This window comes from Homo sapiens, chromosome X (assembly GCF_000001405.40).
Source record: "Homo sapiens chromosome X, GRCh38.p14 Primary Assembly".
Lineage (NCBI taxonomy): Eukaryota > Metazoa > Chordata > Mammalia > Primates > Hominidae > Homo > Homo sapiens.
The window spans coordinates 129,711,465-129,738,622 of record NC_000023.11 but is presented as its reverse complement, the minus strand read 5'-3'; the positions used below and the strand labels follow the sequence as shown (position 1 = coordinate 129,738,622).

The following is a 27,158-nucleotide window of genomic DNA, read 5'->3' as shown; positions in this document are numbered from 1 at the left end:
TCCTTTTCCCTCCTCATCCTCCTCCTTTTTTTTTTTTTCCTCCTTGTCCATTTCCTCCTCCTCCTCCTTTTTGCTCTTCCTCCCCCTCCTTTTTTCCTCCCTCTCTTCCTCCAAGCTGACTGGAAAAGCCAGTGTCCTCTCTTCTTGTAGTGCTTGGCAAGTCCCACTGTACCCCTTGGGAAAGTTGGTTGTGACTGGAGAGTTACTTTCTTGAGCTGGGATGAGTCCCCCCAGGAGTGCCCACTCTGAAGAAGTGATGCCAGCTCTTCCCTTGGGATCTGGGGAGTCCCATTCCCCTGCATTTTCTGAACCTGCACTCTGGGGAACCGAGGCTGTTAGAGCCACTCACACCTGGGAGGAAATGAAAGCCCAAAGATGCCCCTATCTGGAGGGTTTGGGGGATGCCACTGAATAGGGAAGAAGACACAGAAAGGGGAGTTTGGGCGCTCTGAGAAGACTAATTTGGTGAACTGGAAATGCTGTTTCTGCTGTAGCTTCTAGAACAGGGATTTGGTTACCCTGAAGTGTGAGTCACTCGTAAACAACACAACTCCCAATGAGGGAAATGGAGAAGCTGAGGCCTGCCTTGTCTTCACGCCCAGCTGAATCAGAGGGCAGCTTCAAGGCAGCTCCTAGTAAATGCTCTACAGAACCCTTGCTCTTTGGGTTCGAGGAAGGTGATTTCCCAGAGAGGAATGCTTTAGAGAGACAAACAGACCCAATGGGGATGGATGCTCACCTAGCCTGGAGGGCCCCAGAGGCAAACTGCCCATTCCTTTTGTTTCTATTTTTATTTTTGAAACAGGGTCTTATTCTGTTGCCCAGGGTGGAGTGCAGTGGCATGTTCTCGGTTCACTGCAACCTCAGCCTCCCGGGCTCAAGTGATTCTCCAGCCTCAGCCTTCTGAGTAGCTGAGACCACAGGTGCGTGTCACCATGCCTGGCCACCATTCCTTTTGTTTCTATTTTTAATGGATTTACAGTCTGCTTATGTCCACATCAAGTGTAAAGCAACTTTCAACCATCCATTCAAGAATGACAAAATAGGCCATTTTGAAGAGGGAAAACGGACCTTCATGGGAGTCTCTGAAGGGGCAGAGTCAAAATGAGTGAGGTGGCCCAGTGAACTTCATTCTCAGGAATAAAAGCAGAGGGCAGGAGCCCACAGCCTCAGAGGACAGACCAGGGACAAGGAGAACATGAGAATGCTGTCATTCAATAACTGCTGAAGCTCCCGCAGCCTTTTCCCCAGGCTCCTCTCTCCCACCCCTTCCAGGACTGGTAATGAAATTATTCCCAGAGACCAGAGCACTGGAAAATGCCCCCTCAAAGACTCCTGCCTCCTCTGTTTGCTGCAGTAGCCATCCTGAAGGGCAAGCAAGCAGGTAGAGCTGATGGGATTTTGCAGGGGAAGACCCCTGAAGATAGCCTTTGAGGACAAACATGGTCCTGTCTTTCTGTCAGTGAACTGAGCCTTGAAACACTGACTTGGGAGCCAATCAGCCTGAGTTTCAATCCCAGCTCTGGCACCCACTAGCTGTGTGATCTTGGGCAAGTGACTTTATCTCCCTGAGTCCCCAGTGTCCTCACCTGTGAGTTGGCATAATAATAGTACTAGCTTCTTAGGGTTGTTATGAGGATTCAATGGGCTAATGTTGGTGATGCTCTCAGAACATGCCTCGCAGAGACAAGAGTAAATGTTCTACAAATGTTTGTTAATTCACATACTAGAACTAAATAAAGCCAGTCTCATCTGTACTTTGTTCTTTCTCTCCCTGGCATCCAGCACTGCTGAAATAGCAGTTGTTAGAGCAAAGATCAGCTGAGCTGAAGGGCCAACCCCCGAAGCAAACAAACTAAACGGGGATTCCACCCCCATCTTCCGGACTCTGCCCAGGGATGGTCCCCACATAATACTCAGCCCTCTGGTTTCATACCTCTGGGTCCCAGCCTTAGCCCTGGTGGCAAAGATAACTTCACTTGCCTTCATCAGCTCCTTCCTTATCTCCCTATCTCGAAACCACTGTCTTTACTCTTATCAGTTGAGAGACTTCAACCCAAGTTGGCAACAGGCTTGAAGTGGAAAGAAATGATTCAACGTGGGGAGGGTTGAATGGCCGAGTCTTTGCATCAAAGTTGTTTGGAAGATGCATGCATCACTGGAGTCTCGCTCTGGCCTACTCAGGCAGTGGACTTCTGCTTGTTTTACTTTTTGGTCCAAAGCTAGCCTAAAGGCCAAATTCTGAAATCAGAGGTGATCTTCTCTAGAGTACCTCCTGTCTGTGCCTCTTATTTTGCACCCTCATGCCACCCCAGGCTTCCAACCTGAGCCTGCCCTCTCTGGGCACCAATGCCTCCTTGACTTCCATCAGAATACACCTTCCTGACTTACATGTTCTCCCACCAGGTGACAACCACTAGGTGTCCTGAATCGCAGCTGAGGTCACAATAACAACTAATGTCATGAGTGTGAATGAGAAAATGCATATAAAGTGACGAGCAAGCAAGGAACTCTAGCACCAGGGATACAAACAGCTTTGCTGTGGGAGCCCCGGGGAAGGGTAGAACCTGGAGGAAGGCCAGGAATCAGAGAGGTGGAGTGAATCTTGGCAGTAGAGGTGCAGAGATGGCATTGCAGGAGGTGGTCACAGGGAAGGACAGCAGTCTAGGGGCAGACTGGCGGCAATAATGTGAAAAGCAGCCTGAGGAAGCACAGGTGGACAGCGCCATGGACTGGAATAGCCGGTGGCAATAGGAAAGTCAGAGACCCAAGGGGGCTATGAGCACTGCAGAGCATCCCCTGGGGATGTCCCAAGTTACTGAGGATGAAATCATGAAATGATACCTGAGGTTCTGCAGTTCTGCAGGTGGGAAGGAGGCTTTTGAGCTAGCACATGCCCAATCTAACTCTTCATGTGACCTCACAGGCTGAGGGACTGGGGACTCTTGGCCTTGTGGGCACAGCATGTGATTGCTGCTTCCGAATTCCCGTTATACCCTCCCATCAGGTTCCAGCATCTCATGCTGGGAGATAGGCAGGGCTCTCAGAAGCAGAAGAGAAGACAGGCTTGGAGAAAAAAAGTGGCTTTGCCCAGGTCCAAGCTGACCTGTGGCAGAGCTGGGACTCAAACCTGGGTCTGGGGAACTTAAAAGCCCATGCTCTGTCCCTTGGACCTCACAGTCACCCCAATCTGAAGATCCTCCATGGCTCCCACTGCCCTCAGGGCAGAATTCAATCTCTTCAGCTTAGTGGCCAAGGTCTTCCTCTCTAACATTATTCATCTCTTCTTGTCCACATTCTCTCCATCCATCAAAGTCCAGCTCAAAATTCATCTTGTCTACCAAGCCCTCATCACCTCAAATTCATCTTGGAGACTCCCATAACATTTTATGGGAGCTTCTGTTTTCAAACCCTGACATTGACCTTTTTCTTTCTCAACAACTCTTCTGTCGTAGGTCACCCATCCCCAAGGGCAGGAGCTTGCTTTTTATAAATGTTTAGACCTGGAACAGGTCCTATCCAGGACAGAGCCCAGCAAAGAGTGGGCTCAGCACAAGTTTGTGGAGTTGATGCAAAACCCCACCATTGTGTGGCCTAGCCTCCCCATCCTTAACCCGAAAGGAATACTCTGAATGGAGGGCAATTTTCCAGCCCCAGAAGGCTGCTGTGGTGCTGTTGGGTGCCTCATCCATCACATCTGCCCTGCTTTGATACAAAGCTACCCTGCCTCTGTGTGTGTGTGTGTGTGTGTGTGTGTGTGTGTGTGTGTGTGTGTGTAGGGTGTGGTCACACAGCAGGGGGAAAGAGCTCATTTCATGGCATTTGATCTTTGGTGCTATGAGGCCCAAGACCTCACCCAGACAGCCAGGCATCAGAGAAGGGAGTTTCTGTCCTCAGGGCGAGGGTTGGACGTCCTTCGCTGTGGTTGGTGGATCCAGTGGTCAGCTCCTTTTCAGCAGCTCACAGCTGCCCATGGCTCCTCCTTCTTCTTGTGAAATCTGTTGGTGATTGTGTTAGACCATTTTGCATTGCTATAAAGAAATACTTGAGATTGGGTAATTTATAAAGAAAAGAGGTTTAATTGGTTCACAGTTCTTCAGGCTGTACAGGAAGCATAGTGCTGGCATCTGCTTTTGGGGAGGCCTTAGGAAGCTTACAATCATGGAAGAAGGCAAAGAGGGAACAGGCATCTCATATGGCAGGACTGGGAGCAAGAGAGAGAGTGAAGGGAAGGTGCTATACACTTTTTTTTTTTTTTTGAGACGGAGTTTCGCTCTGTCACCCAAGCTGGAGTGCAATGGCGTGATCTTGGCTCACTGCAACCTCTGCCTCCCTGGTTCAAGCGATTCTCCTGCCTCAGCCTCCTGAGTAGCTGGGATTATAGGCGCATGCCACCATGCCCCGCTAATTTTTGTATTTTTAGTTGAGATAGGGTTTCACCATGTTGGTCAGGCTAACAACCAGATCTTGTGAGAACTCACTTGATAATGCAAAGACAGCACCAAACCATGAGAGATCCACCCCCATGACTCAAACATCCCCCCCCAGACCCCAATTCCAACACTGAGGATTACAATTCAACATGAGATTTGGCAGGGGCACGTCATTCCACCTTGGTCCCTCAAATGTCATGTCCTTTTCACATTGCAAAATATAGTCCTCTCTTCTCAATAGTCCCCCAAAGTCTTAACTCATTTCAGCATTAACTCCAAAGTCCAAAGTCTCATCTGGAAATGAGTTCCTTCAACCTATGAGCCTGTAAAATAAAAAACAAGTTATTTACTTCCAAGATGCTATGGGGGGGATAGGCATTGAGTAAACATTTTCATTCCAAAAGGGAGAAATTGGGCAAAATAAAGGGCTACAGGCCCCATGCAAGTTTGAAACCCAGCAGGGTAGTCTTTAAATGTCAAAGCTCCAAAATAATCTCCTTCAACTCCAGGTCTCACATCCAGGCCACACTGACACAAGGGGTGGGCTCCCAAGGCCTTGGGCAGCTCTGCCCCTGTAGCTTTTCTGGGTTCGGCACCTGTAGCTGCTTTCACAGTTGTTGAGTGCCTGTGGCTTTTCCAGGTGCAGGGTGCGAGCTGTTGGTGGATCTACCATTCTGAGGTTTGGAGGACCGGGGCCCCCTTCCCACAGCCCCACTAGGCAGTGCCCTCAGTGGAGACTGTACATGGGGGCTCCAACCCCACGTTTCCCCTCTGCACTGTCCTAGCAGAGGTTTTCCATGAGGGCTCTGCCCCTGTAGCAGGCTCTGCCTGGGCACCCAGATTTCCTATACATCTTCTGAAATCTAGGCAGAGGCTGCCAAGCCTCCTTCACTCTTGCACTTTGCACACCTACAGGCTTAATGCCAGACAGAAGCTGCCAAGGCGTACAGCTTACACTTTCTGAAGCAGCAACCTGAGCTGTATCTGGGGACCTTTCAGCCAAGGCTGGAGCTGGAGTGGCCAGGATGCGAGAAGCAGTGTCCAGAGGCTGCTCAGGGCAGCAGGGCCCTAGGCCTGGACCATGAAACCACCTTGGCCTCAGAGCCTGTGATGGGAGGGGCTGCCTCTTAGATCTCTGAAATGTCTTTTTTAGTTATGCAAATATCTCTAGCAAGTGGTTACCCCACAGTCTGCTTGAATTCATCCCCTGAAATTGGGCTTTTCTTTTCTATCACATAGTGAGGGTGCAAATTTTCCAAACTTTTACACTCTGCTTCCCATTTAAATAAAAATTCCAACATTAAGTCATTCCTTTACTCCCACACCTGAGCATAGATTGTTAGAATCAGCCTAGTACCTCTTGAATGTTTTGCTGCTTAGAAATTTCTTCCACCAGATACCCTAAATCATCAATCTGAAGTTCAAAACTCCACAGATCCCTAGGTCATGGATGTGATACAGCCAAGTTCTTTGCTAAGGTATAATACAGGTGACCTTTGTTCCAGTTCCCAATAAGTTCCTCATTTCCATCTGAGACCTCAGCAGCCTGGACTTCACCGTCTACATCACAAACAGCATTTGGGTCACAACCATTTAACTAGTGTCTAAGAAGTTCCAAACTTTCCCTCATCTTCCTATCTTTTTTTGGAGGCCTCCAAACTCTTCTAACTTCTGCCCATTACCCAGTTCCAAAGCCCCTTCCAGATTTTCAGGTATCTTTATAGCAATGCTGCACTTCTTTGGCATCAATTTTCTGTATTAGGCCAATCTTGGATTGCTATAAAGAAATACCTGAGACTGAATAATTTATAGTGAAAAGAGGTTTGATTGGCTTACAGTTCTGTGGGCTGTACAGGAAAGCATAGTGCTGGCATCTGCTTCTGGGAGGGCCTCAGGAAACTTACAATCATGGCAGAAGGCAAAGAGGGAATAGGCATCTCACATGGCAGGAGCAGGAGCAACAGAGAGAGTGGAGAAGGAGATGCCACACACTTTTAAACAACCTGATCACTTGAGAACTCACTGACTATCATGAGGACAGCACTAAACCATGAGGGATCTGCCCCGTGACCCAAACACCTCCACCCAGGCCCCATCTCCAACACTGGGGATTACATTTCAGCATCAGATTTGAAAGAGACATATATTCAAACATTATCAGTGATTATGGTTCAGGAACTTTGCTAGTGAGACCCAGTGGATCTGGCTAGAGCCCCGTGTAGGCCAGTTAGCTTGGTTCACTTCAGTGGTCACAGACTAAGTCAGATCCTGAGCCCTGGCTGAGTCCAAAGCCCAGCCAGGCATGTCACAAACCTATGCTGCCCTCTCAGGGGCCTTGCACTGCATAAGGATGCATGGCGATAGCACCACTGGGGCTCACCAAGGTTCTAGTTGATTTCACTCAACCCTTCATTTGGTGGTCTTTGGGCACTCTCCCAACCTTCTGTCCTCTTCAGGAGCCTGATCTCTTTACTTCTCAGCCATCTTATGCCCCTCTCCTTGCCATCTCCACTCTAGCCATATGCCATTCTTTGAGTCCCTCTTACAGTGTCTCCTCTAGCAACAGGGTCTTTGTTCATTTCTCTTCACCCAGAATACCCACCCTTCCTTCCTCTCTTTACTCTGTGAACTCCTCTTCCTTCCAGTCTTGCCTCAAATGTCATTTGGTCTGGAAGCTTTCCTTGACCTCCTGGCGAGGTTGACTTCCCCTATTAGTTCTGTTACTGCCTTTGTCACAGGTCCTGTCATCTGCCTTTCAACACTTCCTCAGTCGTGGAAAGGACCACAGCAACTAGCTCATGGCTGCCTCTCTGCAGCATGTCTGCCATTACCATGAGTCATATCAAGGTTCCTGTCAATGACCCATCTAATGTCCTCCTTCTTCAAGTCCAAAGCTCCTCAGCTCAAGGCCCTTTCTCCTCCACTCCTCCTCAGCCTCCCACAACCAAAGTAGCATCTTGGGCCTTGCCACTGCTTGGGATCACTGTCCTTTGACATACTGAACTCCAACCCCCCATTCTCCGAACACACCCTCCTGTGCTTCTCTCCTTCACTCTTACTGCACCTGATTTTTGACTTCACCAAAACATCCTGTTCCTTGCCCTGCGCTCTTCCTCTCCACTTATCAGCAACCCTTGGTTTCCCTTCCCTCTCTATTTGGCTCAAACTACATAACCCATCACTCCAACCTCGCTTTTGCTAGCACATTTAACTCTCCTGTTCCTTTGTGCTTCCACTCCATGTATCCTGCCAATGTCCATCCCCAAGTAAAGCATGCTCCCATCCCAGGGTCATTGCATATACCATTCCCACTAACAGGAATGCTCTTTTTTTCAGATGCCAACATGGCTCATTCCTTCGCTTCATTCAGTCCTCTGTTCAGATGTCCCCTTTTCAGAGAGGACTTCCCTGACCTCATTATTTAAACAGTGCCTCTGTCACTCTTTATTTCCTATTCTGTATTATTACCTCTTCAGAGTATTTTCCTGACATTATATTGTGTACCTATTTGTTTATGTTTGTCCACTGTTATATCTCAGGGCCTAGAACACTACCTGGAGCTTAGTAGGCATTCATAACTTTTTATTGAATAAATAAGTAAACCCCAGGGCATTTGAACCATCTGTCTTCTCTACAGGAGAATATATCCCAACCCTGTTGGTTGGGATCACTCCAAATTTTTGGTGTCCAACCTCGGCAGGCCTCTTGGTGCTGCTTGGCAATCCTTTTCCCTGTCCTGAGTCAGCTGTATTTTCTGTTGCCCTTGTGGGAGATTCCAGACCTTTATCCTTGTCCTCAAATCCCTACCCTGCTTGCATTTCATGATTGATGGACCTTCAGGTTGTTTCTGACTTTGCATTGTTACAAACAGGGGCCATGAAAATTCACGCACATGAAGCATTGCTCTAGGATCCATATCTAGAAGTAGAAAAGCGTACAATTTTGTCATGTCAATAGATTCTGCCAAACTGCCCTCCAAGAAAAGCTGTAGCAAATCACACTTCTACCAATAAAATAGCTGTTTCCACAATGTCTTCAACACTGGATAACATCAATGGTTTAAGGTTTTACCAATTTTATGGGTGAAAATTGGTCTCTTGCTGCTTTGTGTTTACCTGCTGGCTGGTAAAGGTTGACTATGCTTCCTTATGTTTTATTTGCCTTTTATTTTTTTCTTCATCTTTGAGTACCCATTCCTTTCATTAGCCCATGTTCTCATTGGGTTGTTTGTTTTTTTCTTATTAACTTAAAAATGAGATCTTTTTATATATTATGTGCATTCTTCATTTATCTGTTTGACAAATATTTATATACCTCAAGTATTTTCTCCCTTTTAACTTTGTTTTTAATTTTAGAGACTGAAATTTTTTTTGTGTAGCCAAAAACCTATCAAGATACTCTTATAATTTCTGGGACTTGTGACTTACTTAACAAGGAAATACTGTCCTATATATTCTCACAGTTTCATATAATTTTTTTGTGAGTGCACGTGTATTTAGCTCATTAATCCATTTGGGAATTGTATTTGGATATGACATGAGGTACAGATTTAAGAATATTGTGCCTTAACCCCCCACCCCCAATTTGACACTAATTGTCCCGTAACCATTTATTGACGAGTATATCTTTTCTTCATTGATTTTCAATGCCTTATGTAGTGCATATTATAGTCTCACATATACGTGGGGTTGTACTAGACTCTTTTGTTCCATTGATCTATGTCGCGGTGCCAACATTACACTGCTTTAATTACTATAGCTTGTGTTGTGCTTTGATAGCTGGCAGTGGAAGACTTCCTGCCCATTTTTTAAACACTTCTCTGTCATATTGCATATTTCCTTCTCTAGATGATCTCAGGATCAGCACATCAAGTCCTATAAAAATTCCTGTTATGATTCAAATTGATATTGCATTAGATGTTTGGATTAATCTGGGGAAAATGTCTGAGTTTTTAAAAACATCCTGGAATATACCTTATCTTTTCATTGATTCAGGTATTGTATGCCCTTCTGTAAAGTTGTCTATGCCTATCCTCGCCCATAGTGGTCTGATCTGAGCCCCGACCACTCCACTAAAGGAGCTCTTGCTAGAGGCATTAATGACCTTTGTGGTGTTCGCTACTGAGAGATGGCAGGTTATGGGGATGTCTTTGTCCACTCCCCTTGAAACTGGGCAGGGTTTTATGAGTATTTTGACCAATGGCAGGTGGTGAAAGTGAACTTTCCATTTATTTAGGTCTTCTTTAATTTCTATATGCAATGTTTTGTAGTTTTCTGTATACAAGTCTTTCACTTCCTGGGTTAAATTTATTGATAGATATTTTATTCTTTTATGTACTACTGTAAATGGAATTATTTTCTTCATTTCCTTTTGGATTTTTCATTGCTGATGTACAGAAACATGGTGTATTAGTTAGTTTGGGCTGCTGTTACACATTGCCATAGATGGGGTGGCTTGAACAATGAACATTTATGTTTCACAGTTCTGGAGGCTGAGGAGTCCAAGATCAAGGTGCTAGCAGATCAGGTGTCTGGTGAGAACACTCTTCCTGGTTTGCAGATGGCCATCTTCTTGCTATGTCCTGATATGACAGGTGGAGAGAGAGGGAGGGAGGGGGTAGACAGAGATGGGGCTCTCTGGTCTCTTCTTATAAGTGCACAAATCCCACCAGGTGGGCTCGACCCTCATGACCTCTAATCACCTCCCAAACTTCCCCATCTTCAAATACCATCACATTGGGGATTAGGGTTTCAACATATGAATTCGGAGGCACACGAGCATTCTGTCTGTAGCACATGGGACTCTTTCTCTTGGTCTTCAGTTGCCATACAAGCAGGTCTACTCCCCGGAGACCTCCAGGCTGTGAGGAAGCTCAGAGTAGCCCCTGCAGAGAAGTGGCATGGAAAGGCCCTGAGACCACAGGAAGAGAGAGAGAGAAGGCCAGCCAGCCCCAGGCCAGCCCCCAGCTCCCCGCCACCCAATGTTCTAGCTTCCAGCCCCTCTCTGGCTGCAACAATAGGTGAGACCCTGAGCCAGATTCCTTGCCCACCCCAAATTTCTAACCCACAGAAACCATAAGAGATGATAGGATAATACCATGATTTGTGTTGCTTTAAGCCACTAAGGTTTTTTGTTTGTTTGTTTGTTGTTTTGTTTTTACATGGCAATAGATAACGAGAACAGCCTTCTACTTCCCAAATCTAAAGGGCCATTTTAAGGCTAATGACTTCTCTGTGGTAGTCAACTTAGCAGAACTGTTCCCTCATTGAACCTCTCCTTTTCTTTGACTTCCTTGACAATTGTTCCTGGTTCTCCTACATCTGTGGCTACTTTTTCTTAGTCTTTTTCCTACACTTCTTTTATTCTCCCTTCCCCTTAAATATTGATGTCCTGGCCTCAGCCCTCTTTTCTTCTGATGAATTACACTCCACTCTCACCCATCTCCAAGTCGGTGCTGGCCCAGGTCTCTTTCCTGAGCTCTAGACTCATAAAACCAATTGCTGGCTGGGCGTAGTGGCTCATGCCTGTAATCCTAGCACTTTGGGAGGCCAAGGCAGGCGGATCACGAGGTCAGGAGATCAAGACCATCCTGGCCAACATGGTGAAACTCCGTCTCTACAAAAACGCAAAAAATTAGCTGGGCATGGTGATATGTGCCTGTAGTCCCAGCTACTCGGGAGGCTGAGGCAGGATAATTGCTTGAACCTGGGAGGCGGAGATTGCAGTGAGCCGAGATCGCACCACTGCACTCCAGACTGGCGACACAGCAAGATTAAAAAAAAAAAAATTGCCTACTGACCTTCCCTACCTGGATGTCTCTTTCTCCATATGTGCAAAATGGATCTCTTCATTTCCCCCATGCCCCAACATGTCCCTGTCCACCCAGTTGCCCAAGCCAGAATTCTGAGGGTCATTGCAGACCTCTCCCTCCCCCTTGCCTTGACACCATGTCTTGTCAAGTCTACCTCCTACATGTATCTAAAGATCATCACTTCCTCTGCTTTCTGCCCTGGACTATTGCCATAGATCCTAAATGATTAGTCTGCTTTCACTCTCTTCCCCTCCAAGCTACCCTCCACACTATGGCCAGTGGTTAAGAACACCAGCTTTGGGGCTAGGTAGATCTGTTTTTGTGCCCCATCTCTGCCATTCATTGGCTCTGTGACCTTGCGTAAGACATTCACTTTTCTGAGTCTCAGATTCTTCATCTTTAAAATGGAAGTAATAATAATAATTTTACCTACTGGGAAGGTTGATGCCAGGATTCAATAAGAATGCATCCTCAGCATTTTGCACAGTGCCTGGCACACAGCAAATGCGTAATAAATGATTGCAGAATGTTTGAGAAGGGGGCTTAGATGAGAGTATGGATGGCTCTAGCAGCTTCCTTTCTTTGCTGAAAATAACAGTTCTGAACTCATGGACTACACCAGATGTGGCTTGGCTGTCGAGTCTGAATAGGAAAGACTGTGCATTTGTCCAGATTAAGGGAGAGCACAGATATTGCAGAGGGCATCTGAGTTGTATTCCTGAGGTCACAGTGGCAGCTAGGGCCTGGAAAAACTGACAGGTCCTTGGAAGCTGACATAACTGGCCCAACTGGAGCCAGCACATCTGGAACTAGACAGCAGAGGGCAGCAGAGGTTGGTGCGATTGCAGTTCCCTGGGTTGGAGTTGGGGTTGGGGAGGAGAAACCTAAAGGAAAAACTTGGGATCCAAATGGGGGTTTGGCTAGAGGAGCTGTCCAGAGGATAGCAGTGCTCTTGAGCATCCTTTCCCTTAGGGCCTGGGATGAAGATGATTAAGGAAGTAAGGCTGCTTGGGAGGAAAAGAGGAGGCTAAGATTTAGAAGTGGGAGCTGAGTGAGTGAGTTGGAACTTTTACAAAGTATACTAAGAAAAGTGAATCTATCCTAGTCTTGTCTATTTGGGCCTTTGCTCATTTCTAGGAATCCCAATGGTCCTTCTATGGGCAGAGTTATCAACTGGGGACCCCAGAGGGTGGAGATGCTTTTATGTGTGATAGATGATGAGTTTGTAGTACAGGTAGGGGCCACATCCCTAAGGTATGAATAAAAGAAGCTTCAGGCTCATGAGGAAACCAAGGCCCAGAGAGGGGAAGTGACTTGCCTAAGGTCATATAGTTAGGATTAAGAGTGAAAGCCAATATTTACTGAAACGTTCTAGGTATTGCTGAACACATTCCATGCATTACCTCACTTAATCCTCACAATAACCTCATGAACCAGGATCAGGTGTTGTATCATCACATTTTACAGAAGAAGAAACTGAAGCACAGAAAGGCTAAGCCACTTGCCCAAGGCCAAACAGCCAGTCAGTGTTGCACCAGGATGCAAATCCAGGCAGCACAATTCCACGGCCTGTGAATGTAACCACCACATTCTGCTACTTGCCTAGGTCAAAGGTTAGGTTTCTGTACTCCCAAATCAAGGCTCTTACCAGTATAGACAATTACTCTATATTGTCTTGGATGGAACCCAGTTTCAGTACGTCAAGTCCTGGTCTCAAATTAAGTACACTAGAAAGGCAGTTTGCTACTTTAAATGGAAGCTCAGTTAATCCTTTTGTGAGGTAAATACTGCCATTTTTCTTCTCCTATCTATAATTTACCTGCATTGTGATGTTTCTACACTGTGCGAACTGTCCAGGGGACATATGGTTGGCATGCTTCCTATAGAGCGTCACTGCTGATACAGGTTCTGCTTTAAAGGGCTTCTTTCCCAGTCAGCTCTAGATTTCTCCTGAGTTGCATTCCTATACCACATTGTTACTGTAGTCCAGGGATGGTGAAAGAAAGTCAGTTAAAGTAATGTTTTCTTTAAAAAAATTCTCTATTTTGTTTTCCTTGTACTATTGCTTGTTATTGAGCAAGCAACCATTCTTATTCAGTGTCTGTCTGCATAGAGGCATTCATTCATTTATTCATTCATTCATAAAACACTTGCTGGGCGCCTGCTATGTGCCAAGCACTTTGCTAGGTCCTAGGGGTACAGTGATGAACCAGGAGAGCATGGTCCCTGTCCTCATGGAATTTTGAGTCTAGAAAGAAAGTCAAATCATCCCTCTCAGGTGCCTCTAACTGAAATTGGGAACCGCCCATCTTCTCCGTCACCGTTGCCTTAGCTTGAGCTCTTATCATGTCCCTTCCTTGGATCACTGCAGCTGGTCTGCCAGTCCCTGTTTCTCCCAACCCCCACCACAGCCTGCACACAGCAGAGAGCAGCAGACAGACTCCACCTTTGAAAACATCCCTTCAAACATGTCACATCCTTCCCCTGCTCAACCTGCTCAAAATCCTTCAATGACTCCCCATTTCCTGTCAAATGACATCCACATTCCTTCACCATCTGGCCCGATTCAAGCAAGTTCATGAGCCCATCCTGCCCTATCCTCTTCTCTATAACCTCATTTCCTACCTGGCCATCTGCTTTAGTAGGTTTTCTTACTGTCCTCATACACTTCCAGCTCATTCTTCACCTTTAGTTCCATCTCCTCATATCCTACCTATCCTACAGAAGCTCTGACTGGGGTACCACCTTCTGTAGGAAGCCTCCCCAAGGACTCCCTCCTTCCTCTGCTCTCCCTTCTCTGTGATCCTGGGCCCAAGGCCTGAGCTGGTGCGAAGATTAAATGACATGCCATTATGGGCAAATTCTTTGTATTGCATCATGGGAGACTTCATATCCATTCTCATAGCTACCATTTATTAAGCACATGTTCTCTGCTAGCCAGTGGAGCTCAATGGCTTAAAGAAACCATTTCGTTGAGTCCTCATAACAGCTTGTGAAATAGACAATATTGATTAGGTCCATCATTCAGATGAGGAAATTGGCTCAGGGAAGTTGTGTATCTAGCCCAAGATCACACTTATAGATAGGTCCATCTGGGGATCCTGTGCTCCTTCCGAAGGTGGTCCATTGGACTGAGCTGGTTTGAATCCCAACTGTGCCTCTTTTTAGAAACCTGTAGTGCAACTTTATATGACCTTTCAGGTCTTTAACTCTTGATTTAAAACTTTCTATTAATATTTTCCCTGGTCCTAATTCTCTGCTTTTATTTTGTCATTATTTTTTCATTGTCATTAACCACCTCAAAGTCTTTGGGAAACAAGGTGGGGTAATTAAATTAAATGCATGAAAATAAAATTGTTTCCTTGGCTCCACTTATAGTGCCCAAGAAAGAATTGGGAACCGGTGCTAGGCGAGCATCGTCTAACCTTGTGCTCTGCAAGGCCTTGAGGAAAAGGCAATCCAAATTAGAAGCCAAAGGTCAGTTCTTTCTGCGAAATAAGAGTCCATGCCAGGTTCCCTATCAACATGCCTGACTGTGGCATGGACTCTATTTCCTTCCATAGTTTTATTTTTATTTTTAAGGAGCCATCAGGTGGTAATGGATGATTCATGCTTTACTTACTCTTCTTGTTTATTTCCCTTCCTCGACCTTCAGATTTTTTTCCCCTTAATGTTTGTTCCGGGTTTTGACAAAGCACCGAGGTACTTGACTTACATTGGTAACTTTTTTTTCTAATGTCTTCTTAGGAAAAAAAAATGAAAGGAAGTGACAGTATTCCAAAACCATCTTTTATTTTATCAGTGGATGGATTGCACCTGCTGCTCTCCAATTGTTTCCTTTTACAGTAAAACCTCATTAGAAGACACTCCATGAGTACCAAATGGGGATAGCTTGGGCCCTGTCTGTCTTGACTTTGTCCACTCTCAACAAAGTCATAAATGAATTGAATAAATGGACTCTGTGCACTGAGTTTCTATACTTCAAGGCAGCAAACTTTATCATTTCCTTGGTAGGACCATTTGCATACAAATGATTGATGCTGAGGATTCTTTTCATTTCATTAAGGCAAGTCTCCTAAGACCTCGATTAGGCTACAACTTGTTAGCTTACTTGGAGCTACTGTGAATTATTCAAAACAATAAAGCTTCATTACTTTACAAGTAACCTACAATACAGATGGTTCACTAATTTGAAAGGCTACCTCCAATTAGTTTGAATAAGTGAGGTTGGACTGCATTCAACAGCAATTTATTGATTTCTTTCATCATACAAATCACTCTCCCTAGGCAAGAATTCTTTTTAATAACCCCAGTACTCCGTGAAGACTGGAACAGTGGCATCTCCCTCAGAGACAAAGATGTGGTGCCCACTCACCTGTCTGAGTTGGAATCTTACTAGTAGAGGTCACTTGCACTGATACACCCACACGCTTAAAATCTTGTTCTTAGTGGCTAAAATTCAGGGTCAATATATGGCTGGGACAGAGAATTGGTTCTGTGTGATGCTGGCCAAGTTGCTTTACCTCTCCAGGTTGGAGTTTCTTCACTCTGCAATTATATACTCAGTCTGTGAATGAGACTAAGGGCAGCCCATTACCAAGGTTTAGGCTCATTCTCTGAACAGGTTTAGGGAACATTCTAGGCTGGGGTTAGTGCTCAGTCAGTGGCCAGGGTTAGAGCTTGCTTTGTGGATGAAGAGCTAAGTGAAGGGGACTTTATTTTCTAATCCTAACTGCCTGCTTATAGGTAGCGCTATGCTCTACCCCACTGAGCTGAGGACATAAGACACCAGTAGCAACGAGGCAAGACTGGAATTATAGGACAGGGACACTTAGGAACATAGGGAAAGATACTGGAAAATTTATATTCCCTGTCTAGTACCTCAACATTTTCTGTAAAGACGGCAAGAGGGAGAGGCTCACTCGCAGTCACTGACGTTGCAAGGAATCATCAGATTCCAAATAATTATTTGCAATTGGTGCATTTCCTTGCTGTGAATTTCTTTCTCAGGGACTCTGGCCATGGGGTGCTGGTGGGATCTGTTCCAGTCAAGTTATCTATTCTCTATGTCTCCTATGGGTGTGGACGAAAGGAGATGGGCTGGGCCACCTTGGCCATGTTTGAGTTAACAAATGACAATAGAATTCCTGCTTAGAATGCTAGGGAAATAGGTTTCTTTGACCTCCTGGGAGGAATTGTAATCACCAAGTTTTCAAAAGGCTAGGGAATCTTAACTGAAGGCTGCTTTTCATTTGAGACAGGAAGAGACAGACACGGAGGGTGAGACTGATAAGTGAAAGGGCGTGAAGCACCATTTCCCCCTTCAGGATGCTGGGGCTGGGCTGGAGAAGATGCAACCGGAGGTGGTGGTGGTGATGGCGGAATCCACTGTGCCTGACCTACATGCTCACAACCACCCTATGGGCTCATTACCATATTACTCCCACTTTACAGATTAGGAAACTGGGGTACAGAAAGAAACAGAGGTCACCCTGCTAGTGAGTGCAGTGCTGTAATTTGAACTCCAGAACCTCTGAGAATTATGGTTATTGGAAATACCAAGTCAATTTGGAATAGCAGGAAGACAAGGAGAAGAGATGGAGGGGGTTATGGTATCATGGTACCTCAAGTGCCCAGAGGTGGCCTCAGTGCCAAGAGGTAGCACAGTGCAGTGGTTAAGAGCATACACTAGGAACCCCACAGTCTAAGCTGACAGACTTGGTTCAAATCCCAGATCTCCCACTTTCTGGCTGTGTGACCTCAGGCAAGTTACTTGACCTCTCTGTGCCTCGGCTTCCTCATCTGCGAAATAGAGACAGGGATAATAATAGTACCTACTTCATGGGATTGTTATGAGGCTTGAATGAATCAATGAGGGAGAGTGTTTAGACAACACCTGACACCTAGCAAAAGCTACCTGGCTGTTTAACATCTAGTGTAGTAATGAATTGCCCACATGCTGGGTCTGTGGTTGGCTGGGGGATCTTTGAGCCTCAGCTTCTCCCTACAACCTACTTTAGAGTTGATGTGAGACATAAATGAGGCAAGGTACATGGAGAAGAGCACACAATGAGCTGTTTAGCATTACTATATCAGCCCTTTATAACCCAAAGGTAGAGTCCACATTGGTGTAGCATCTGTGAGTTCAAATGTTGCATTAAACGAGTGGGTCAGTGGCAAGGTATGAAGATAACCTTTTCTGATCTGCAAGGAATTCTGTTTTCTTTCAAAAATTTTTAAGAGACAGGGTCTTGCTCTGTTGTCCAGCCTGGAGTGTTGGGCTCAAGCCATCCTCTCACCTCAGCCTGCCGAGTAGATGAGACTACAGGCACACGCCACCACACCTGGCCGGTTTAAAATTTTTTTTGTAATAATGGGGTCTTGCTATGTTGCTCAGGCTGGTCTTGAACTCCTGGTCTCAAGTGATCCTCCCACTTCAACTTCCCAAAGTGCTGGGATTATAGATGTGAGCCACCGCGCCGGGCTGGAATTCTGTGTTCAATCTAAGTGACTTTAGAACCTGCTGACACACAGTGAAGAGGGAAAGGGCCATGGCCTCAGATACCATTGGGCCCAGATCCACAGCCTCAAGAATCCACACCCTTGGTAGAGCCAATGGGTGAGAACTCAGTCTCCAGAGCCAGACCTGTCTAGGTTCAAATCCCAGCTCTATCACATATTGTGCGACCTTGGGCAAGTCACTTGGCCTCTCTCAGTCTCTGTTCCCTCATCTGGAAAATGGGGGTAATATTTGTGCCTTCCTCATAGTGGGTGTTGTAAGGATTAGCTCCATGGACACATGTGGAGAGCTAAGAGCAGCGCCAGGCACGTAGTATAATATTTGTTGATTTATTTCCAGAGAAACCAGGGATATGAGTGAGAAATGAAGGAAGGCTGTGGCGCCCCTCTCCACCCTCTCCCTTTCCCCACCGGCTGGAAGATGCTCCTGTCCAAATGGGAAATTGAGGCCAAAATAGCACAATAAAGGAAAGGAAGCGCTCCAGGAGCAGATGGGCTCCCACTCACCGTCCTGAGGAATGTGCTGACTATTCAGGAACAGGCCTTTGGCAGTCACTTAACACAATCACGAAGCAAAGGGAAATGATCAAGTCTGTCACCAGGGTCAGTGCCAATTTGTTTAAGAACGTGGTGAGGCTGAAAAGGAGGATGTGGGGAATGGGAGGCCCCGAACATTCCTGGAGCCAGTTTGCAAAACCTCCCGGGCAGCAATCCCAGGTGCGTGTGGCTGGAGACCTGCCCTCCCCATGTACCCTCCAAAGTTCCCCAGTTAGCAGCCTTGGCCATGATGGGGGTGCTGGTGGCTCACGTGGGCTGGGTCAAGTTGGGGGTCCCATGCTTCCTTTATTCTATTCTGCAAACTTGTACTGAGTGTCCACTCTGTACCAGACACTGGGCTAGGAGCCGTGGGGTATGTGGGGGAGAATGATACAGGTAAGGTCCTTGCCCTGGAAGAACTCCTAGAGGATCGAAGCTATGTCCCCTTCACATGGGGAAAACATCTAAGAAATGCTGAGGGGTCAGGGACTGAACAACTACCCCTTCCCAGGGGGTTTACCTGGAAAAAAAGAGAATATCTGGAAAGGATAATGTTTAACATGGAGTAACTTCTAATGATGGAATTAGTGGGGGTGTTATTTCCTGGTGGGTGGAGGGGCCATGGCAGACTGTAAACTTATTAAAAGTAAAGCTTCTGCTTCTGTGAATCCCTTGACCAGTGGCTAACATGATTGTACACCTAAACAGACTTCTAGGCAGAGCATTTAGAACGGACCCTACCAGCTTTGACCGAGTGCCTGCTATGTGCCAGGGACAATACCAGGTGTTCTCCTATGCTTTAATATCACAGAAAATCTATCTGAAGTGGATTAATGTAAATATTGAATGACTGGACATGAATCACAGGAAGGCCCTTGGGTAGAATGTAACCTAGTAGTTCTCAAATTGTGGTCCCTGGACCAGCAACATCAGCATCACCTGGGTGCTTGTTAGAAATGCAAATTCTCAGTTCCATCCCATATACACAGTCAGAAACTTTAGGGGTGGGCCCAGCAATCTATTCTTACAAACCCTCCAGGTGATGCTGGTGCACACTCAAGTTGGAAGCCCACAGCTCTAACCCAGTGGTCTTTAAAAGGGGCTCTGGGCTACCATGGAGGTTCTAGGGGAACCTCTGGGGAGGGGAATGGGTTGAGAGCAGCTCTATTTTCATCTGCCACCTTACACGTTGAGTTGCCCTGTTAGATTTTGTTTAAAGAAAGTGTTCCAAACTGCAAAAGTTTGAAAACCATGATTCTGGTAGAACCAACTGCCTTCCCCACTTGACGCATCCTGCCTCATCATTTCTGCAGATGGAGAACACTGTAGCCCAGGGAGAGGATGGCTCTGGCAGGCGGGAATGGGACTAGCACTCCGGCCTCCTAACTTCCAGCCCAGGGCTCTTCGTGGCATCTCAGGCTGCCCCTTCATGAGAGAGGAAACAGGAAGGCAAGCCTTTAAGCTCTCATTGAGTAAGATCCTGGGGCTGTCTGCTTCTCTTTCTAGTTATGCCGGGAAAGGCCAGAGGCTTCTGGGGTTCTTGGAGGAAGCCTTTCCAGTTCCTCTCTCCTGGGGCCCAGGGCTTGTAGCCCCAGATCAACCTCCCAGCCAGCCTGGACTCTCCTCCTGACCACATTCATCTCAAGGTAGAATATCATGGGAAGTCTGTCTGCATGTCCAGACTTACCCCCCATTCCTCAGCCAGGCCTCTCAGGCCCACCTGATGCCTGAGGCTCTGAGTATGTGCATTTCCCTGGCCTCTATTTCCTGCCCACCCCCAATCCGGACAATGCTCTGTCATTGCCCTCATACTATGAAGGGGGGTGGGTCACTGTGAGCCTTTCCTGGGGGGTCAATGCTTACTGTACTATATGTCTCTCCCTTCCCAGCCTCCAGCACTGCCAGGCCTATTGCCTCAGTGGGCAGCTCACAGGGTTGGCAAGCAAGCAGCAGAGATATCAGTGGGGTTGGGGTCTGCCCTACCTGCTGCTGATTCCGTCCAAGGCTCAAAGATCCAGCTGAGGACTTCCCCACTGCTGCCTGGGCCCTTTCTGATATCAGGTGTTGCCTTTGACTTCATACTTAAGCCTCTGCCAATCTCAATGGCTGTCTTCCCCCAGGACAAGAGCACCTGCTGCAGCCATCTCCACAATAAAGGGGAGAATGCAACAGCTCCTCTGGGTGCCAACTGAGGACACTGCCGATTCTGGGGCTGCAGTCTCAAGCTGCTGAGCCTACGTGAACAAAGTCAAGGCAACTGCGGCATGGTGTGTGAGTCAGCTGCTTGGCTCTTCTGTGTGTGTGCATGTGTGTGTGTGTGTGTGTGTGTGTGTGTGTGGTGAGGGAGGTGGATTCTGGATGAGTGAGAGACTAAAACAAAATTGGAAACACGACCGCTAAAAGACTAACATTTTCAGGCCAAGTCAGTTCATCTTCCCTGCAAAAGAGCATTTGAAACCCTAGCCAGTCCCGCTCCTGTCCGACTTACTAGACCCTGTGGACTGGCTTATAGCAGGGATTTTACAACTGATAGAAGCTGGCAGTGTAGAGAAAATAGCAAAAGGGCTCTGGAGCCAGAGAGATGAACATTGAAATCTGGGCAAGGGACTCACCTCCTTGAACCTTGGTAAAAGAATTCGGTAACTTAGGTTGAACTATATGAAAATGCTATTTTGTGGGTCAAAAAAGATTGAATATTGACAATTTCTTATGGTTCAACCCAGTAGCGCCTTCCTCCCAGAGTTACTGTGCAGATTAAATGAGCTAATATACAAGAGTGTTTATACCAGCATGTGACACATGATAAATGCCAAATAAAGGATAATCATGATGATGGTGATGATAATGGGTATTTAACACCTAATTTTGGCCACAGAATGAGCCCTGACCCTGGCCATCTCATAAATACAAGTCCTGGATAGGCTGAAATACCTCAGGGACATAATCTTCGGGGTTAAAATATTTCCCTGACCAAATAACACCCCCCAACCCAGGCTGTCCCAGCTCTTAAAATTTTTTGCTTATAGGTCACTCTGTGGTGAAACCACTCTTCAATGAAGGCTCCCACTAAAGAGTCCCCAAAGGGGAAGAGATTCATTCACTGATTCATTCGTTCATTGAACAGCTTGTATCAAGAGCCTATTATGTTGCCAGGCACTGTGCTAGGTGCTGGATTGAAGAAGGTATGCTCCCTGCCCTGGAGGAATTTGCAATTAGATATGAGGGAAAGCCCCCAGACAGGTACCAACAGTCCACTTTTGACAAGTGTCATAGCCATAAAAAGTATGTCCCAAGCTTTGTGGGGTCACTGAAGAGGGATCATCCTCTCTCTGAGGCAGGAGAATACATTCTGGAGGCAGGGAACCTAAGGCCGTTTCACGCTGAGTTCCTAGAACTAAATTGAAAGGAGAACCCTAACTTTCCATGCCTAAGTAACAAAAGGACCAGAGGCTACTCCCTTTGCAAGCTCCCAGCTTTTCTGCGTGGCCGATGGGAAATTGAAAGTACCTATGATTGGTTGTTAGACATTTGCATAGGAGTGTAACTTTGAAACTTCACTTCAGCCTCTGTAGGCTGTCCACAACCAATCAGACTGATTGCGGGTCAAGTCTTCGTTTGCATAGAAGTGCAACATTGTAACTTCACTTGAGCCTCTGATTGGTTGCAGACAGCAACCAATCAGATCTTTGCATAAAAGTGTGACCTTTGTAACTTCACTTCAGCCTCTGATTGGTTGCAATAAGACTGGTTGCAGACCACCACTTCATTTACATGGGGTGAACACCAAGTGGCCAATGGGAAACCTCTAGTGGGTATTTGGACCCGAGAAGTTTCTGTATCTGGGCCCTTGAGTGGCTGCTCGGGCCCGTTCCCACGCTTTGGAGTGTACTGTCGTTTTCAATAAATCTCTGCTTTTGTTGTTTCATTCTTTCCTGCTTTGTTTGTGTGTTTTGTCCAATTCTTTGTTCAAAACACGGAGAACATGGACACCCTCCACCGATAACACCTCCATCCATCTTAACGCTGTTAGGTGGTCGGAGATGGCTATACAGAAAAAGTGACATTTCAGATGGATTTTGAACGATGTGTAGGAATTCCTTGCAGGGAGAAGGTGTGAGTTCAAGCAGGGGAAACCTAATATGTAGAGGCACTGGTTTGCAAAGGGGTGTGAGCACTTTTAGGGACTGGTTCTAAGTTCAGCGTGTCTGGAGCACCCGTTAAGAAAAGGAGTATCAGGAACTGAGGATGAGGAGGCACGTCAGGGCTGGGCTGGAAAGTGCACCCTGGATGTAATTCTCTAGGCAACTGAGAACCAACAGATGAAAATTTCTCAGTGTCCAGACAGAAGACTTTCTGATTTTGTCTGGAATGGGGCCTGGGAATCTGAGATACACGGTCTTCTTTTTCCTTCCTTCCTTCCTTCCTTCCTTCCTTCCTTTCTTTCTTTCTTTTTCTTTTCTTTCTTTCTTTCTCTGTTTCTCTCTTTCTCTTTCTTCTTTCTCTTTCTTTCTCTGTTTCTCTCTTTCTCTCTTTCTTCTTTCTCTTTCTTTCCTTCTTTTTCTCTCTTTTCTTTCTTTCTCTTTCTTTTTCTTCTTTCTCTTTCTTTCTTTCTTTCTTTCTTTCTCTCTTTCTTTCTTTCTTTCTTTCTTTCTTTCTTTCTTTCTTTCTTTCTTTCTCTTTCCTTTCCTTTCATTTCCCTCCCTCCCTCCCCCCCACTCTCTCTTCCTTCCTTCCTTTCTTTCTTTCTTCCAAGATGGGGTCTCACTATGTTGCCCAGGCTGGAGTGAAGTGGCTGTTCACAGGTGTGATCACAGCTCACTATGGCCTTGAACTCCTGGGCTCAAGTGATTCTCCTGCCTCAGCCTCCTGAGTAGCTGAGACTACAGGGTTTTCTTTCTTGGTAGTAAGTATTCTCTATTGAGGTATAATTTATATGCAATAACATGCACTCATTGTAAGTGTACAGTTCAATGATACAGTGTACAGTTCATTTGATAAATGTCTGCACCCATGTAAACCAGCACTACCTTAGACCTGGGCAGATGGGGCTTCTGTCCCATGCCCTGCATTTCAGGAGGAACCCACTGCACTTTGCAGCACTTTCCTTAAAATTTTCGGTTTCCTGCCAATGTCTGAAACCAGAGCCTTTGTCTCAGCACACCATGCTACAGTTGCCTTGACTTTATTCACGTAGGCTCAGCGGCTTGAGACTGCTGCCCCGGAATCAGTGGTGTCATCAGGTTGGGCTTTCCTTAGCTCAGAATGGGTCCCACGTAGACATAGGACCTGGTCTGTGTTTTTCCAGGCACTCTGAGTCTCTAGACATCCCCCATCCTGTGCTTGGGGCCCACCAGATGTCCCAAGGAACTCCACGATTCTCACCTATGGGATCGTCTATGGTACTTTTGGTTGAGACCCGGTTCCAGGAGAGCAGCATGATAAGTGGATTGCTCCACTAGCCAGAGCAATATATCTTTGACAGAAGTGCATGAAATTGGGTCAACCAGAATGGTATTGACACACTAGTCTTGGATGACTCAAATATTGTGTGTAGACAGGGATTGCACAAAATATATTTTCCTAGGTTCTGAGCACCTTAGGAGTGGCCCTGTATGTGAAGCCACTGCTATGATTGAGATTTACATCATTTTCATCATGGCAAAAAAATGTCCTTGAAGACTTTTGCAATCCCACTCCCACTCGTGACCCTTGACTACCTCTATCTTGCTTCCTGTCACTATAAGTTAGTTTTACTTATTCTAGAATTTCAAATAAACAGAGTTATATGGTACTTAGCCTTTGTGTCTGGCTTCTCAATTACATAATGCTTTTGAGGTTCTCCATGTTGTAACATGTATCAGTAGCTTATTCCTTTTAATTGCTGAATATCCATTGTATTAATATGCCATTGTATATGTTGTATGTCCATAAAAGTTATAAGGTATGCGATGTATGATTGTATTGGTATACCATTGATCCAATCTATGGATGTATCACAATTTGTTTATTCATTCACCCATTGCTAGACACCTGAGCTATTTCTAGTTTGGGGTTTTCATAAATAAAGCTTCTATGAATACTCTTTTATGAGGTGTGTTGTGGGCATATGTTTTTATTTCTCTTGGATAAATACCTACAAGTGGAATTACTGGGCCAAAGCATTAGCTTACGTTTAATTTTATGAGACACTATCAGACTAATTTCCACAATGGATGTACCATTTTGTACTCCAGCCAGAAATGTAATTTTCATTGCTTTGTAGAGTTTTCATTGATTTATATCCGATTAGTATAGTTATTTTTAAAAAATTTTCAGGCATTCTAAGTGAATGTGTACTAGCATCTCATGATGGCTTTAATTTCTATTTCACTGATGACTAATGATGTTGAGTATCTTTTCATGTGTTTATTGGCCATTTTTACATCTACCTTAGTGAAGTCTCAGTTCAAATCTTTTGTCCATGTTTTTGGGTACAATTAACAGAAAATAAAATGCACCCATTATAGGTATACAGCTCAATGAGTTTGATAAATATATACAATCATATAACTAATACTGCCTAGGTAGAAGTTTATTGTTTTTATTGATATTTTCAAAGCACTGACTTTTGGTTTCATTGATCTTCTCTATCTATTTGCTAGTTCATTGATTCCTGTTCTTATCTTCGTTATTTCCTTTCTTCTACTTATTTTGGGCTTAATTTATTCTTCCTTTTCTAGCTTTTTAAGCTTGAAACTGTTAAGTTTAGCATGAAATTGCCTCCTTACGTGTTTTAAGTTCGGCCTAAAGGTTTCTGTGTGCATAGTGAACTGTAACCTAACTGGATGTGTAAACAAACTGTAACCTGCTCTTGTACGAGTCACCGAGTTTTGGCAAATCACAGGCGGCCAACTGTTCAAATTGTGTTCAAATAAGGCAAACATTGAGCTGTAATTAATCCAGCTGGTTCTGTACCTCACTTCCATTTTCTTTTTCTTTTCTTTTTTTTTTTTTCTTTTTGAGACAGAGTCTCACTCTGTCGCCCAGGCTGGAGTGCAGTGGCACAACCTTGGCTCACTGCAACCTCTGCCTCCTGGGTCTCAAGCGATCAATCCTCCCTCCTCAGCTTCCTGAGTAGCTAGGATTATGGGCGTGTGTCACCACACTCAGCTGATTTCTCTATTTTTGGTAGAGATGGGGTTTCGCCATGTTGCTCAGGCTGGTCTGGAGCTCCTGGGCTCAAGCGATCCACCAGCCTTGATCTCCCAAGGTTCTGGGATTACAGGCGTAAGCCACTCTGCCCAGCCCACACTCCCGTTTTCTGTACATCACTTTCCTTTTTCTGTACATAAATTTTCTCCAACCACATGGCAGTGCTGGAGTCACTCTAAATCTATTCCGGTTTAGGAAGCTGCCTGATTTGCAAATTGGTCTTTGCTGAATTTAACTCTGTTAAATTTAATTTGTCTAGAGTTTTTCTTTTAACAAAGCTGAGGTCATTGATCTAAGACCTTTCTTCTTTCTTAATATAGGTATCGAGTGCCATAAGCTTCCCCCTAAATACTGCTTTAGTGACATCCCGCAAATTTTTATATGCTGTCTTCATTTTCATTCATTTAAAAATGCTTTTCAATTTCCCTTTTGATTTATTCTCTGACTCATGGATTATTTTGAAGTGTGTCATTAATTTCCAAATATTTAAGGATTCCATAGATATCTTTTTTGTTATTGATTTTGAATTTAATTCTGTTGAGATCAGAGAACATACATTCATGATTTTAGTCCTTTTAAATTTATTGAGACTTGTTTGATGGTCCAGCTTATGGTCTATCTTGGAGAATGTTCCATATGTGCTTGAGAAGACTGTGTATTCTGCAGATATTGGGTGCAGTGTTCTATTCATGCCAATTAGGTCAGGTTGATTGAGGGTGCTGTTTAAGTGGGTTTTTTTGTTTGTTTGTTTGTTTTTGTTTTGTTTTGAGACTGAGTCTCACTCTGTCACCCAGGCTGGAGTTCAGTGGTGCTATCTCAGCTTACTGCAACATCCACCTCCCAGGCTCAAGTGATTCTCCTGCCTCAGCCTCTCTGGTAGCTGGGATTTTAGGAGCCTGCCACTATGCCTGGCTAATTTTTGTATTTTTATTATAGTGGAAACGGGGTTTTACCACATTGGCCAGTCTGGTCTCAAACTTCTGACCTCAAGTGATCTGCCTGCTTCGGCCTCCCAAAGTGCTGAGATTACAAGTGTGAGCCACCACTCCTGTCAAGATGTTAAGTCTTATATACTCTTACTGATTTACTGTTTACTTATTTTATCAGTTACTGAGAAAGAACTGTTGAACTCTCCAACTATAGTTGCAAATTTGTCTATTTATTTCAATTCTGTCAGTTTTGAGTTCATGTATTTTGAAGCTTGTTATTAGGGACATACACATTTAAGATTGTTATATTGTCCTGATGACTGTTTTATCATTAAACATGTCTATTCCTGGTAATATTCTGTGTCTTAAAGCTTACTTTGAAATTAACATAGCCACTCCTGGTGCATCTTTATCATTTTAGTTTTAACCCATCTGTGTCTTTATGCTTAAAACATATGCTTGAAACAAATGTTGAGTCCAATTTTCTTTTTAATGCAGTAGGACAATCTCTAACTTTTAATTGTACTGCTTAGAGTCCCTTCACATTTGATGTCGTTATTGATATTGTTGAATTTAGGTCATCCACTTCTCTATTTGTTTTCTATTCTTCCTTTCTATTCTTTGTCAACTTTTTCCTCTATTTTTGCCCTCTTTTGGGTTGAGTATTTTCTTTTATTTTTGTTGAGATGCAGTTTTGCTCTTGTTGCCCAGGCTGGAGTGCAATGGCACGATCTTGGC

At 45.2% G+C, this 27,158-nt stretch overlaps 1 long non-coding RNA gene across 1 annotated transcript, besides 3 other annotated features; it reads right to left on the bottom strand.

Moving 5' to 3' along the window:
- Positions 365 to 414: an enhancer, noted in NCBI's record as "active region_29919". NCBI's record gives its function as "activates an Ori minimal core promoter by ATAC-STARR-seq in GM12878 lymphoblastoid cells {active_cell/tissue: GM12878}" and the evidence as "EXISTENCE:reporter gene assay evidence [ECO:0000049][PMID:35858748]".
- On the bottom strand, positions 9,734 to 20,499 carry LOC124905214 (uncharacterized). The gene is made up of 2 exons (XR_007068327.1): positions 20,284 to 20,499; positions 9,734 to 10,317 (listed from the first exon to the last, which is right to left on the bottom strand). It is a non-coding gene; the product is annotated as an uncharacterized LOC124905214 (long non-coding RNA).
- Positions 19,770 to 20,361: an enhancer, noted in NCBI's record as "OCT4-NANOG-H3K4me1 hESC enhancer chrX:128852239-128852830 (GRCh37/hg19 assembly coordinates)". NCBI's record gives its function as "activates a minimal SCP1, AML or CMV promoter by ChIP-STARR-seq in naive H9 embryonic stem cells {active_cell/tissue: H9 hESC(naive)}" and the evidence as "EXISTENCE:reporter gene assay evidence [ECO:0000049][PMID:30033119]".
- Positions 20,362 to 20,953: an enhancer, noted in NCBI's record as "OCT4-NANOG-H3K4me1 hESC enhancer chrX:128851647-128852238 (GRCh37/hg19 assembly coordinates)". NCBI's record gives its function as "activates a minimal SCP1, AML or CMV promoter by ChIP-STARR-seq in primed H9 embryonic stem cells {active_cell/tissue: H9 hESC(primed)}" and the evidence as "EXISTENCE:reporter gene assay evidence [ECO:0000049][PMID:30033119]".